Consider the following 16,538-nt stretch of genomic DNA (forward strand, 5'->3'; position numbering starts at 1 on the left):
AATTGTGAATGGGAGTTCACTCATGATTTGGCTCTCTGTTTGTCTGTTATTGGTGTATAGGAATGCTTGTGATTTTTGCAGATTGATTTTGTATCCTGAGACTTTGCTGAAGTTGCTTATCAGCTTAAGGAGATTTTGGGCTGAGATGATGGGGTTTTCTAAATATACAATCATGTCATCTGCAAACAGGGACAATTTGACTTCTTCTTTTCCTAATTGAATATGCTTTATTTCTTTCTCTTGCCTGATTGCCCTGGCCAGAACTTACAACACTATGTTGAATAGGAGTGGTGAGAGAGGGCATCCTTGTCTTGTGCCAGTTTTCAAAAGGAATGCTTCAAGTTTTTGCCCATTCAGTATGATATTGGCTGTGTGTTTGTCATAAATAGCTCTTATTATTTTGAGATACGTTCCATTAATACCTATTTTATTGAGAGTTTTTAGCATCAAAGGCTGTTGCATTTTGTTGAAGGCCTTTTCTACGTCTGTTGAGATAATCATGTGGTTTTTGTCGTTGGTTCTGTTTATGTGATGGATTATGTTTATTGATTTGCATATGTTGAACCAGCCTGGTATCCCAGGGATGAAGCCGACTTGATTGTGCTGAATAAGCTTTTTCATGTGTTGCTGGATTTGGTTTGCCAGTATTTTATTGAGGATTTTTGCATCGATGTTCATCAGGGATATTGGTCTAAAATTCTCTTTTTTGTTGAGTCTCTGAACAGGCTTTGGTATCAGGATGATGCTGGCCTCATAAAATAAGTTAGGGAGGATTCCCTCTTTTTCTATTAATTGGAATAGTTTCAGAAGGAGTGCTACCAGCTCCTTTTTGTACCTCTGGTAGAATTTGGTTGTGAATCCGTCTGGTCCTGGACTTTTTTTGGTTGGTAGGCTATTAATTATTGCCTGAATTTCAGAGGCTGTTATTGGTCCCTTCAGAGATTCACCTTCCTGGTTTAGTCTTGGGAGGGTGTATTGTTCAGGAATTTATCCATTTCTTCTAGATTTTCTAGTTTATTTGCATTGAGGTGTTTATATTATTATCTGATGGTAGTTTGTATTTCTGTGGGATCAGTGGTGATATCCCCTTTACTATTTTTTATTGCATTTATTTGATTCTCCTCTCTTTTCTTCTTTATTAGTCTTGCTAGCAGTCTATCAATTTTGTTGATCTTTTAAAAAAACCAGCTCCTGGATTCATGGTTTTTTGAAGGGTTTTTTTGTGTCTCTATCTCTTTCAGTTCTGCTCTGATCTTAGTTATTTCTTCCTTCTGCTAGCTTTTGAATGTGTTTGCTCTTGCTTCTCTAGTTCTTTTAATTGTGATGTTAGGGTGTCGATTTTAGATGTTTCCTGCTTTCTCTTGTGGGCATTTAGTGCTATAAATTTCCCTCTACACACTGCTTTAAATGTGCCACTGAGATTTTGGTACATTGTGTCTTTGTTCTCGTTGGTTTCAAAGAACGTCTTTATTTCTGCCTTCATTTCATTTTGTATCCAGTAGTCATTCAGGAGCAGGTTTTTCAGTTTCCATGTAGTTGTGCGGTTTTGAGTGAGTTTCTTAATCCTGAGTTCTAGTTTGATTGCACTGTGGTCTGAGAGACAGTTTGTTGTGATTTCTGTTCTTTTACATTTGCTGAGGAGTGCTTTACTTCCAACCATGTGGTCAATTTTGGAATAAGTGCGACGTGTTGCTGAGAAGAATGTATATTCTGTTGATTTGGGGTGGAGAGTTCTGTAGATGTCTATTAGGTCTGCTTGGTGCAGAGCTGAGTTCAAGTTCTGGATATCCTTGTTAACCTTTGGTCTCATTGATCTGTCTAATATTGACAGTAGGGTGTTAAAGTCTCCCATTATTATTGTGTGGGAGTCTAAGTCTCTTTGTAGGTCTCTAAGGACTTGCTTTATGAGTCTGGGTGCTCCTGTATTGGGTGCATATATATTTAGGATAGTTAGCTCTTCTTGTTGAATTGATCCCTTTATCATTATGTAATGGCCATTGGTTTAATGTCTGTTTTATCAGAGACTAGGATTGCAACCCCTGCTTTTTTTTGTTTTCCATTTGCTTGGTAGCTCTTCCTCCATCCCTTTATTTTGAGCCTCTGTGTGTCTCTGCACATGGGATGGGTCTCCTGAATACAGCACACTGATGGGTCTTGACTCTTTATATTTGCCAGTCTGTGTCTTTTAACTGGGGCATTTAGTCCATTTACATTTAAGGTTAATATTTTTATGTGAATCTGATCCTGTCATTATGCTGTTAGCCGGTTATTTTGCCCATTAGTTGATGCAGTTTCTTCCTAGCATTGATGGTCTTTAAGTTTGGCATGTTTTTGCAGTGGCTGGTACTGGTTGCTGCTTTCCATGTTTAGTGGAGCTCTTGTAAGGCAGGCCTGGTGGTGACAAAATCTGTCAGCCTTTGCTTGTCTGTAAAGGATTTTATTTCTCCTTCACTTATGAAGCCTAGTTTGGCTGGATATGAAATTCTGGGTTGAAAATTCTTTTAAGAATATTGAATATTGGTCTCCAGTCTCTTCTGGCTTGTAGAGTTTCTGCCGAGAGATCTGCTGTTAGTCTGATGGGCTTCCCTTTGTGGGTAACCCGACCTTTCTCTCTGGCTGCCCTTAACATTTTTTCCTTCTTTTCAACCTTGCTAAATCTGACAATTATGTGTCTTGGGGTTGCTCTTCTGGAGGAGTATCTTTGTGGTGTTCTTTGTGTTTCCTGAATTTGAATGTTGGCCTGTCTTGCTGGGTTGGGGAAGTTCTCCTGGATAAGATCCTGAAGAGTATTTTCCAACTTGGTTCCATTATCCCCATCACTTTTAGGTACACCAATCAAACGTAGATTTGGTCTTTTCACATAGTCCTATATTTCTTGGAGGCTTTGTTCATTTATTTTTACTCTTTTTTCTCTAACTTCTCTTCTCGCTTTATTTCATTAATTTGATCTTCAATCACTGATATTCTTTTTTCCACTTGATCAAATAGGCTATTGAAGCTTGTGCATGCATCACATAGTTCTCATGCCATGCTTTTCAGCTCCATCAGGTCATTTAAATTCTTCTATGCACTGTTTATTCTAGTTAGCCATTCATCTAATCTTTTTTCAAGGTTTTTAGCTTCCTTGCAATGGGTTTGAACATCCTCCTTTAGCTCGGAGATGTTTGTTATTACTGACCTTCTGAAGCCTACTTCTGTCAGCTCGTCAAAGTCATTCTCCATGCAGCTTTGTTCTTTGCTGGTGGGGAGATGCTATCCTTTGGAGGAGAAGAGGCACTCTGGTTTTTAGAATTTTCAGCGTTTCTACTCTGGTTTCTGCAAATATTGCAGAACAGCAAATATTGCTGCCTAATCTTTCCTCTGGAAGGTTCGTCCCAGAGGGTTACCCGCCTGTTTGAGGTGTCAGTCGGCCCCTACTGGGAGGTGTCTCCCAGTTAGCCAGTTAGGCTACACGGGGGTCAGGGAGGAGGTAGTCTGTCTGTTCTCTGAGCTCAAACACCATGCTGGGAGAACCACTGCTCTCTTCAGAGCTGTCAGATAGGGACGTTTAAGTCTGCAGATGTTTCTGCTGCCTTTTGTTCAGCTATGCCCTGCCCCCAGAGGTGGAGACTATAGAGGTAGCCGGCCTTGCTGAGCTGTGGTGGGGTCCACCCAGTTCGAGCTTTTCCGGCTGCTTTGTTTACCTACTCAAGCCTCAGCAATGGCAGACCCCCCTGCCCCTGCCAGGCTGCTGCCTCACAGGTCGATATCAGACTGCTGTGCTAGCAGTGAGCAAGTCTCTGTGGGCGTGGGATCCGCCGAGCCAGACATGGGATATAATCTCCTGTTGTGCCATTTGCTGCGGACCAGAGCTGTTCCTATTCGGCCATCTTGGACTGACCTTTGTATTGTTATGAAATGTTCTTTGTATTTGGTGATACTTCTTGTCTCGACGTTTACTTTATCTAATAGTTATATTGTTGCACAATCTGTCTTGTTTATTTGCATGGTATATCTTTTTCTGTTCTTTTACTATTAATTTCTGAATTTTTTATTTTCTTATTTTTCTGTAAACAGCATGTAGCTGAGTCTTTATAAAAATTAAAAATCCATTGTGACATTCAGTCTTTTAATAGGAAAATTTGTGTTCCAGTAGTATTTAATGTAATTACTGATACTGGATTTAGGCCTTCTATCTTACTACTATTTGTTGTTTCTTTGTCCCATTTGTTTTTTCTTCCTGTGTACCTCCTTTTCTGCCTTCTTTGGATTAGTTGATTAGAATTTCATTATTTTATATATTTGTTTTTTAGGCGTATCTCCCTGCATTATTATTTTAATGATTCTTCTACATCTCTAGCTTTTCAGTCTAGAGTTGTTACCATACTGTTTCACTTAAAAAATAGAAATGTTCATCCTTACAATAATTAAAAGTCATTTATCTTCCTCTTCTGCTGTAGTTGTCATGTGTATTATATCTACACATATATACCCAATAAATGTATTAGTCTGTTCTCACATTACTATAAGTAACTACAAGAGACTGGGTAATTTATGAAGAAAAGAGATTTAATCGATTCACATTTTCACAGGGTGTACAGGAAGCCTGGCTGGGGAGGTTTCAGGAAACTTACAATCATGGCAGAAGGTGAAGGGGAAACAGACACATCTTCACATGGTGGAGCAGGATAGAGGGTGAAGGGGGAAGTGCTACATATTCTTAAACAACCAAATCTTATGGGAACTCACTGTCATGAGAACCGCAAAGGGGAAGTCTGCCTCCGTGGTCCAGTCGTCTCCCACTAGGTGCCCCCTCCAACACTGAGGATTACAGTTTGACATGAGGTTTGGGTGGGGACACAGAGCCAAACTATATCATTCCACACCTAGCCCTCCCAAATCTCATGTCCTTGTCACCTTTCAAAGCACAGTCATGGCTTCCAAACAGACCCCCAATGTCTTAACTCATTCTAGCATTAACTCAAAAGTCGAAGTCCAAAGTTTCATCTGGGACAAGGCACGTCTATTTGCCTATGAGCCTGTAAAACCATAAACAAGTTAGTTACCTCCAAGATACAATGGGGCTACAGGCATTGGGCAAATGTTCCCATTCCAAAAGGGAGAAATCGGCCAAAACAAAGGGGTTACAGACCCCATGCAAGTCCAAAGCCCAGAAAGGCAGTCATCAAATTTTAAAGCTCCAAAATAATTTTCTTTGACTCCATGTCTCACATGCAAGCACACTGATGCAAGGGGTAGGCTCCCAAGACGTTGGGCATTTATGCTCCTTTAGCTTGGCATGGTATAGCCTCCTTGGCTGGTTTCATGGGCCAGTGTTGAATGCCTGTGGCTTTTCTAGGCACATGGTGCAAGCCGTCAGTGGGTCTACCATTCTGAGTTCTGGAGGATGGTGGCTTTTTTCTCACAACTCCACTAGGCAGTGCCCCAGTGGGGACTCTTTGTGGGGGCTGTAACCCCACATTTCCCCTTCACACTGCTTAGTAGATTCTCCATGAGGGCTCTGCCCCTGTAGCAGACTTCTGCCAGGATATCCAGACATTTCTATTCTCTGATAGCTATTTGGAGGCTCCCAAGCCTTAACTCTTGCCCTCTATGCCCCCACAGGCTTAGAAACACATAGAAGTCACCAAAGTTTGCAGCTTGCACCATCTGGAGCAGTGACCTGAGATGTATCTGGGGCCCTTTTAGCCACAGCCACAGCTGGAGCTGGAGAAGCTAGGATGCAGGGAGCAGTGTTCTGAGGTTGTGTAGGGTAGCAGGGCCCTGGGCTTTGCTCTCAAAACCATTCTTCCCTTAGGCCTCTGGGCCTTTGATTGGAGGGGCTGCGGGAAAGCCTTCAAGGCATTTTCCCCATTGTCTTGGCTATTAACATTCAGCTCCTCTTTACTTATGCAAATTTCTACATCCAGCTTGAATTCCTCCCCAGAAAATGGGCTTTTCTTTTCTCCCTCATGGTCAGGCTGCAAATTTTCTTAACTTTTATGCTGTTTCCTTTTTAAGTATAAGTTCCAGTTTCAGATCATCTCTTTGCTTATGCATGTGACCATATGCTGTTAGAAGCAACCAGGCCACATCTTGAAGAACACTTTGCTACTTAGAAATTTCTTCTGCCAGATATCTTAAATCATCTCTCAAGTTCAAAGTTCCACAGATCTCTAGGGCAGGTGCAGAATGCCTTCAGCCTCTTTGTTAATGGTTAACAAAAGTGATCTTTGCCCCAGTTCCCAATAAGTTCCTCATCTGAGACTACTTCAGCCTGGACTTCATTGGCCATATCACTGTCAGCATTTTGGTAACAACAGTTTAACAAGTCTTTAGAAAGTTCCAAACCTTCCTTGGTCTTCCTGTCTTATGAGCTCTCCAAACTGTTCCAACCTCTGCCCATTACCCAGTTACAAAGCTGCTTCCACATTTTCAGGGATCTTTATAGCAATACCCCACTCTCCAGTGCCAATTTTCTGTATTAACCCATTCTTGCACTGCTGTGAGGAACTACCTGAGACTGGGTAATTTGTGAAGAAAAGAGGTTTAATTGATTCAGTTCCACAGACTGTACAGGAAGCATGGCTGGAGAGGCCTCAGGAAACTGACAATCATGGCAGAAGGTGAAGGGGAAACAGGCACATCTTCACATGGCAGAGCAGGAGAGAGGGAGTGAAAGGGGAAGTGCTACACAATTTTAAACAACCACATCTTGTGAGAACTCACCCATTATCACAAGAACAGCCAAGGGGAAGTCCACTCCTATGACCCAGTCACCTCCCACCAGGCCCCTCCTCCAACACCGAGGATTACAATTCAACATGAGATTTAGGTGGGGACACAGAGACAGATCATATCAATATACACTACACAGTACTATAATTTTCACTTCAAGCAGTCATATGTATTTTAAAGATGTACTAAGGACATATATTATTCTATGTTTACCAATATGCATGCCATTTCTTTTACTTTTTGTTCCTTCCAGAATAAGTTTCCGTCTTGTATCATTTCCCTACAGCCTGAAGAACCTTATAAAAGCACTTTTAAAAAACATGCTGGCAACCAATTCTTTTAAGTTTCTTCTTTTAAATTTAAAAATGTGTTTATTTGACTGTTCTTTTAAAGGATATATTTTGGGTGTAGGAATTGGAATTGACAGCATTTAAAAAATGTACCACTGTCTTATGGTTGTTTTTTTTTTTTTCCTGATGAGAAGAAAGTAGTCATTCAGTCATTGTTTTTCTATATGTAATATGACTTTTATTCTCTGCCTTTTTTTTAAGCTTTCCTCTACCCTTGATTTACAGGTATTTGGCTGCTGAACCTTGTCTTTTTGACAAGTTTTTTGAATTTTTAAATTTATATATTTCACCAAGTGTTTGAAAAATGTGTGTGTATATGTGTGTGTATATATATGTGTGTGTGTGTGTGTGTGTATATGTGTGTGTGTGTGTGTATATATATATATATATATATATATTTTTTTTTTTAGACAGAGTCTAGCTCTGTCACCCAGGCTGGAGTGCAGTGGCATGATCTCGGCTCATTGAAACCTCTGCTTTCTGGATTCAAGCTGTTCTCCTGCCTCAGCCTCCCGAGAAACTGGGAATACAGGCACATGCCACCATGCCTGGCTACTTTTTTGTATTTTTAGGAGAGATGGCATTTCACCATGTTGGACAGGCTGGTCTTGAACTCCTGACCACCACGCCCGGCCAAGAAGCAAATAATTTTGGAATCTGTAGTCCCTTAATGGGGAGAAAAGGAGCTAGGATGAAATACATAAATAAGAGTTAAACATTTGACTTGGTAACGAGGTATTTGAGGGGAATAGTGCCCTTCAGTGTTTATTCTTGCTTTTTTTAAGGTAAAGGCTAGAAATACTTATTTTATTTATTTATTTTTTTGAGACGGAGTCTTGCTCTGTTGCCCAGGCTGGAGTGCAGTGGCATGATCTCAGCTCACTGCAAGCTCCGACTCCCAGATTCACACCATTCTCCTGCCTCAGCCTCCTGAGTAGCTGGGACTACAGGCCCCCGCCACCACACCCGGCTAATTTTTTTTTTTTTTTTGTATTTTTTAGTAGAGACAGGGTTTCACCGTATTAGCCAGGATGGTCTCGGTCTCTTGACCTTGTGATCCACCCGCTTTGGCCTCCCAAAGTGCTGGGATTACAGGCATGAGCCACCACGCCCAGCCAAGGCTGGAAATTCTTAATGTGACTTCTGAGCCCTTGCATGATCTCCAATGAGTCTCATCTCCTGCTACTGTTGCATTCATTACTCGCTCCTCTCTCCACTTTGCTATCTATACTGCAAACACACTAGCCATCTTATATCGTATCTTATTAGAGCTTATTCATTTGGTGACCCTGTTATTTCTGCTTTAATTTCTCCTCTTCATTTCTCGTTCATCTTCCTCTGGATACTTTCTTTTCATCCTAATGATCTCAGCCGAAATATTATTTTTTCAGTTATTTCATGGCCTCTCCTGATAAGATTATATGCACCAATAGCATCCTCGTTTTCTCTTTTGTAGAATTTCTCATTGTTGCAAATAGTTGTTTACTTATGAATATCTGTTTAACCTTGCTACAATGTAAGATGTATAATGCAGTATTTTTGTATTCACTGGTATATTTTCTGCATCTATTACAGACCTTTGCATATAGTAGATGCTCAATAAATGCTGGAAGGAATAAATCCAGAGATGAATTGCTTATTCAGGATTTCATTCAGCTAATTTTCAGTAAGGAATAAACTGCCAAAGATTAGTGTGGAGACTATCCCTACCAGTTCCTATTTCTGACTCAGAGTGAGGAAGTTAGTCTCCAAAACTAAATAACCAAGATAAATGATGACTGTTTTTCGTGGTTTGAGTATGACCCCTGGTTACAACATAGAGTAGTGCCGACAGGCTATAATGTCTATCCCTGAAATGAGCTATAGTGCGGAACATTATGTCCAATATGCACTTAGTCTGTTACAAAAATTTTCATTTGTAAGAAATACTGTATTTCTACCCTGTACATTTTTTTCCCTATTTTAGCTCAATTTTGATTATGGTTCTTTTGAAAAGATATGTAGAAACAGTAAAAGATTACCTAAAACTATAAAAAATGGCTTCATAAGGGGCTGGGCATGGTGGCTCATGCCCGTAATCCCAGCACTTTGGGAGGCTGAGGCAGGTGGATCACTTGAGGTCAAGAGCTCAAGACCAGACTAGCCAACATGGTGAAACCCCGTCTCTACTAAAAATACAAGAATTAGCCAGGTGTGATGGTGGGTGCCTGAAATCCCTGCTACTTGGGAGGCTGAGGCAGGATAATTGCTTGAACCTGGGTGGCAGAGGTTGCAGTGAGCCGAGGTCATGCCACTGTACTCTAGCCTGGGTGACAGAGCAAGGCTCTGTCTCCAAAAAAAAAAAAAAAAAAAAAAAAAAAAGTTCTATAAGAAAAAAGTAAATAAATGGAGTTTAGTGGTTTATATGAAATAATTCAATTCAAAGGGATGCCTTACATTAATTTTAATTATGTGGAACGAGTTTATACTAATCAGTTGTTTTAATAAATGGGAAAATTAAAATATAGCTTTAAATAGGGGAGATTTATTTCAAATGAAAGGAAAAACATATTGACAGTTAAGAGTGAGACAGACATAGGAATATTCCAGCAATTGAGAGTGTTGATGATGCATCCTTGGTGACCTTTTAAGAAAATAGGAAAATATCTATTTATTGATATTTCCTCCTATGTATGTAACTACTTTTAATGGTTATTTTTCAGATACAATTTACCATATTTTTATCATTAATTTTTTAAATCTCCTGAATATGGAGAAAATCCTACCTTTACTGTTGTGTATGAGCAATAAAACTCATTATAACTAGTCCTGTAAACTGTGACCACCAGGTAACTTGTTGATAAGTTGGCATAGGAAGGGACCTCATACAACAGGGAATTCAGCTAAAATATTAAAGTTGCTAATTCTGAATCTTGGCAGATGGCTGGAAGTCCAAGTCATCTTTTTTCTGAGACTCTTGTGCATATGGATGGTTTTTGGTTGGGTCTGCTATCTGAAGTATCTGACATGGTAGGTATTATGGGCAAATGATAATGTTCGTATTTGAATAGTTGATAGCTTAATGATTTCAAAGAATTATTATACATTGAAACACAAGGTCAGTCAGTGGCTGGAAATGAATGCACACATTTGAAGTGAGAGGACTGCTGAGAGCTTGTTGGGTGGTTGGGACCTCAGTCCTAGGTTCTCTCTGCCCCGACCTTCTGGCAAGGGGAATAGAGTTAGCTCAGGAAACAAAGGTAAAAGCCCATTTTCCACAACTAGGTAAACCAAGTAAGCATTAAGGATATTAAAAAGGAAAAACTGGCTGGGTGTGGTGGCTCATGCCTGTAATCCCAGCACTTTGGGAGGCCAAGGCAGGAGGATCACTTGAGGTCAGGAGTTTGAGACCAGCCTGCCCAACATGGTGAAACCCCATCTGTATGAATAATACAAAAGAAAATGAGCCTGGCATGGTGGCATGCACCTGTAGTCCCAGCTACTGAGGAGGCTGAGGCAGGAGCTGAGATTGTGCCACTGCACTCCAGCCTGGGTGACAGAGAGAGACCCTGTCTCAAGAAAAAAAAAAAAAGAAAAACTTTAAGCATGTTTAACTTTATCAGAGGTTGCCTGAGCAAAAAACAAACAAACAAACCAAAAAACCCAATAACAATGATTTGCGATTAGGCAGCCCTCAGAACTAGAACAGGTTCCAAGAACTATCTGCTACCTGTTCACCTAGCATTTATGGACAGAAAACAGAGTGGGACAAAAAAAAACAACTTAATTGGTTACAGCTAGGTGTTGTGTCTCACTTTAATCAGCTGACTGTCAACAGTTGACTGAAGCTCAGATGCTGTAACTAATAAACTCAGCTTTTTGTTACATGAGTACACGCTCAAGTTTCATTCAGCATGAATGACTTCATATTAGTTTGGTCTGTTGGGCTCAGTACAGGAGCCTAGTCCAAATCAATGGCCTCCTGCAAATTTTATTTAACAGGTTAAAAGTTTAGTCCCAGAATATCTGAATTAGAGCATAAGGCAGAAAGATGAATTCTCAGTCCTACCTGCTAATGGGACGTGAGCCTTTAGATATTCTGCTGGGCTTGACCAGAATTAGCTCAGAGCCTGAGCATTTGTTAACTTGTAGCTGTTGAAGCTTGGAAAAGCAAGGATTCCACCTTAGTGAAATTAAATGACTTACCCAAGATCACAATACTAATTTGAAATTGTGTCAGAATTGGGATCTAGGCCTATGTCCATTCCTAATCTAGTAGATTTGCTATATAATACCATCTTGAATGTGCAAATTACAACCTTGTTACTTCACAAAGTGTGATTATTACTGTAAAGCTTAAAAAGTTGCTTGCTACTTGGAAAAGCAATCCTGAATAATTAAATAAATCTTGTTATATAAATATAAAATTGCATAAAATTTTTAGAAAACTGTTGATAGAGTCTTTATTATTTATTTTACATTCATATTTATTTTACATCCCATGATAGATACTTGCCACCTTATATAGAACTTTTGCCAATATTAGGGTTTAATAAATATTGATTGAATGCTAATATCTGAAATGGTAGTCAGAGGAGTTGGGCTTTTCACCTCTGCGTTTGTGTGTGTGTGTGTGTATATATATAATTGTCAACATGATAGAATTTATACTATAATCAAAATTACCTTGGTTTTTAGAAGTGATTTATAGTATATTTACTTTTACATCTATCTATTGAGTGGTCCCAGCAATAATTAGTGAAACGTAATGTAAGAACCATCCATTATCTTCTTTTTATAAATGAGGAAACATACTCCAAGATCATGTGAATGGAAAAGGAAACATGGGAAAATCATATTTCTGAACATGAGTTGTACATTACCAGATTTTGTTTTAGGAAGACTCACTATTAAATGTGTGTGTGCGTGTGTGTGTATGTTTTGATTAATGTATGTATTATGTGTTAAGTAAATAGTATACATGCTCATTGCAAATCATTTAAAAATATATGTGACGAAGAAATGAAAAATTGCCAGTAATCTCATTGCTCCATGGTCACTATTGTAAACATCTGACATTTGTTAAATCTATTATTTATGTCCTGTATTCAAAGTAGTGTGGAGGTAGGCAAGATCACTGGATTAGTCAGGAAATTTGAATATTCTACCTGTCTGTTAGCTTAGTTTTTGACCTTGGTGTAGGGATTCCGTGATTGCCAACATTTAATTTTTAAAATTATTTCTTACCTTACCTTCTTCTCCAGTTTATACTGTTATTTCTATTAAATAAATATGACTTTGTTTTCCAGTGAGATAACTAGATTAACAACATTACCTTTATTGTCAGTGAAGAATAAAAGATGATGTTTCACCTAGCTCATGTAGTTCTAGTTCTCAAGAATATGATATGTGATACTTTTTGAAATATTTAAAGTAGTTTAAACAGTATCCATTTGACTCTATAAAAGCCTAGCTGGGCTCTCCATGAGGGAACAATTCGAATAGATGGTTTGTAACGTCTTTTTCAGTTTTAAAATGCAGATACTTTGATTCCATTGCACATTGATATATGAACTCATTCTTCCTTATTATTATTTCCCAAAATGGTAATTATTTTGCTTCTAGACCAGCAAGCTAATATATCAAAAACTCTTACATGTAAATGTAGTTGTTTAAAAATATTTATGCTGTGTAATGTCAGTAATTTATGAGTTACAGACATGATATCCCTTATATTTTTGCATAATAATTCATTTTTAGGAAAAACTAAGAATAAAGTTATTCTTTGTATTTTTACCAGTCTTTTCCCAACCAAGTGTTACTGAAACTGTCATACCAAAATCTTTTTACCTTTTAAGATTCTCACTTTTGAGGCTGAGAACTATGAAGCTAGTATTCCAATTTGCATTCATTGTTGTAATTTCAGGCAGCATGTCCAATTTACTTCTACTGTTAGGTGCTTGTTTGTTGTACTTATGAAGAACTAAGAAGGATTTTCTCGTAGCCCAGAGTTATGTTATTTTTTGCTTAGTGACAATTTTTACAAGAGACCTTATTATAATCAAACCAATGAAATGCATCATAGTACCTTTTTCAGAGTGCCAGTGGCTTAGGAGGTATTTTTTTTATGTAAACTTGTTAAAGGCATGTAACTAACTATTGGGCAAAATTCACCCCCGATATTTCACATAGGTTCTTTTCTATTTTCTGTAAGTGTTGGCCGGTCTGAGAAATAAAGGGACAGAGTACAAAAGGGAGAAATTTTAAAGCTGGGTATCCGGGGGAGATATCACATGTTGGCAGGTTCCATGATGTGCCCCCAAGCCACAAAACCAGCAAGTTTTTAGTGATTTTCAAAAGGGGAGGGAGTGTACAAATAGGGTGTGGGTGACAGAGATCACCTGCTTCACAAGGTAATAAGATATCACAGGGTAAATGGAGGCAGGGTGAGATCACAGGACCACAGGACTGGGGCAAAATTAAAATTGCTAATGAAGTTTCAGGCAGGCATTGTCATTGATAACATCTTATCAGGAAACAGGGTTTGAAAGCAGACAACTGGTCTGACCAAAATTTTTTAGGTGGGAATTTCCTCATCCTAATAAGCCTGGGAGTGCTGCAGGAGACGGGGGCTTATTTCATCCCACAGCTAAGACCGTAAGAGACAGCTGCCCCCAAAGCGGCCATTTTAGAGGCCTCCCCTCAGGGACGCATTCTCTTTCTCAGGGATGTTCCTTGCTGAGAAAAAGAATTCAGTGATATTTCTCCCATTTGCTTTTGAAAGAAGAGAAATATGGCTCTGTTCTGCCCAGCTCACCGGCAGTCAGAGTTTAAGGTTATCTCTCTTTTTTCCCTGAACATTGCTGTTATCCTGTTCTTTTTTTCAAGATGCTCAGATTTCATATTGTTCAAACACACATGCTGTACAATTTGTGCAGTTAACGCAATCATCACAGGGTCCTGAGGCGACATACATCCTCCTCAGCTTACGAAGATGACGGGATTAAGAGATTAAAGACAGGCATAGGAAATCACAAGGGTATTGATTGGGGAAGTGATAAGTGTCCATGAAATCTTCACAATTTATGTTCAGAGATTGCAGTAAAGACAGGCGTAAGAAATTATAAAAATATTAATTTGGGGAACTACTAAGTGTCCATGAAATCTTCACAATTTATGTTCTTCTGCCATGGCTTCAGCTGGTCCCTCCGTTTGGGGTCCCTGACTTCCCTCAACAACTAACCAAGCTTATATCCTTATGGTAGAAATAGAGACATACTATAAATATTTATAACAAACAAAATTGGGGTAAGAATCCTTCTTTTGTTCTATTGTTTGGTCAGTCAATAAATATATTTTTAAAAATTTTTGTGGGTATATAATATGGGGAATATATGTGTGGAGTACTTTAGATATTTTGATACAGGTGTACAGTGTGTAGTAATCACATCAGGGTAAATAGGGTATCCATCACCTCAAACATTTATCCTTTGGCTCCTTTTCAATAAAAAAATTTTGTTTTCTCACAGCTCTCCCCCAATACTCTCTTTACCCCCTTACCTGAAATCTAAGTGCTTTTTGTTCTCACAAGTCCTCTGTACCTTATGATGAGTGAAGAGCTTGACATTCTCCAGGTATTTTGCTTCTAGACCACTTTTTTAAAAATCACCTTCTTTCAGCAGAGTGTTCTCACTTTGAAATCTGTGTAATACCTGCTTTGCCATGATTGTTCTTATGCTTACTGTCATTAGTGATTTTTTTTAAAAAAATAAGCTTTATAAAAGTGGAAGCCTGTGTGTGAATTTTTCTGTGATTTTTTTTCTTTTTTTGACTCAGCCTTATGGGTTTGAATTCATTTGTTTGAGTATCTCCCTTTAACAACAACAACCTTATGAGGTAGACACTATTATTATCCACACTTAACAGATGTGGGACTGAACACAGTTATATGTTTAGGTAACTTGATAAGGTTATATATCCAGTAAGTACAGTGTCTGGATTTTAACACAGGCATTCTATTTCAAAGCCCAGACTCTTAACCAGTATACAGTACTTACATTCACTGGTAATCAGAACAATGGAAACTAAACTGTGATGCCCATCATCCGTCGGTATGTCTGTATCTATCTTCCTTCTGTCTGTCTACATACCTTTATATGTATTTAGATTATCAACAGATTATCTGCAGCAAAATTGGGTACAGTAATATCTTTAAGGGTCAGGGGAAGATAATTTTGAATTTAGTAATGTCCTATCCAGACATTAACATTTTAGAATAAGATAGACATAAGGACAATTTCAGGCATACAGGGACTCAGAAACTTTTTCATAGATCATTGCTGAAAGAATTATTAATGGATATACTCTAGCAAGAAGGGCAATGAACCAGGAGAAAATAATGGGATACAGGATGTAATGATGCACAAAGAAAGCAGTAAAACATGCTGTTAAATTCAAATATAGTTGAAAAATTTACATGGGAATTGGGAGAGGAAGTATAGAGGACAGTAAAATAGTAAGCTATGGTTCTGGTCCTGTTTCGGAGAAGATAGATATGCTTGCTTGCTAATGTTAAACTTGGTTAGGAAAAGAATAAATCTACATGTAAACTGCTATAATAATACCACCTACAATTTACTAAGCATTTATATGTGCCAGATACTTTGTTAACATTTTACATGGATTATAAGAGATACACACACATTCACTCTATATATGTTATATAGATTATATATTTATAATATATATAACACACACACACACACACACGTTTTAAAAGCATACACAAATGCAGGGATACTGATCGAGCAAGCATTTAATAGCTGTATCCTTTAGGAAATAGAGGGGAAGGGGTTGAGATGGGGAGGTGTGAAGGTCAAGTGGAAAATTTTGCTTTATCTTTATAGATAAATGCTTTTACATTAAAAATGCCATCACATATTATTGTTTTTTTAAAAACCTAAAGAAGTTTAAGCAGATATACCAAAAATATCAATAGCAATTAAATTTGTTTTTTTACTTTCCTTTTTTGTTTTTGTTTTTTAGTGTAATTTTGAATTTCAAAAAAGAAAAAGCCTTGAGAAACACTTGGCAGCAATGATAACATAGTTGGTTTTTTTTTGTTGTTGTTGTTGTTGTTAAGAGAGGAGGTCTTAGTATGTTTCTGAGGTTGAACTTGAACTCCTGGACTCAGGTGATCCTCTCATCTCAGCCTCCTGAGTAGTTGGGACTATAGGTGCTTGTCAATGTGTCTGATTTGTGGCGTAGTTCTTAAATCTTTTCAAACTTCTATTAAAAATAATAACTAGGGTAACTGAAGGAAGAAACAAATGCTGGGTAGGATACAGAGAAAAGGGAACTCTTATACATGGTTGGTAGGAATGTACATTAATACAACCATTATGGACAACAGTATGGAAGTTTCTCAAATAACTGAAAATAGAACTACCATATGATCCAGCAGTCCCACTACATAGGATATATCCAAATGAA

The 16,538-nt window shown here is 38.4% G+C and overlaps 1 protein-coding gene across 12 annotated transcripts in view, besides 1 other annotated feature; it reads left to right on the forward strand.

The window, feature by feature from the left end:
• NBEA (neurobeachin) overlaps positions 1-16,538 on the forward strand; it is a 730,467-nt gene that overhangs the window by 42,529 nt on the left and 671,400 nt on the right. The gene's annotated exons all lie outside the window — the stretch shown is intronic.
• Positions 5,590-6,116: an enhancer, noted in NCBI's record as "OCT4-NANOG hESC enhancer chr13:35564525-35565051 (GRCh37/hg19 assembly coordinates)". NCBI's record gives its function as "activates a minimal SCP1, AML or CMV promoter by ChIP-STARR-seq in naive H9 embryonic stem cells {active_cell/tissue: H9 hESC(naive)}" and the evidence as "EXISTENCE:reporter gene assay evidence [ECO:0000049][PMID:30033119]".

The sequence above is a fragment of the Homo sapiens genome, chromosome 13 (assembly GCF_000001405.40).
Source record: "Homo sapiens chromosome 13, GRCh38.p14 Primary Assembly".
NCBI classification, from domain to species: Eukaryota; Metazoa; Chordata; class Mammalia; order Primates; family Hominidae; genus Homo; species Homo sapiens.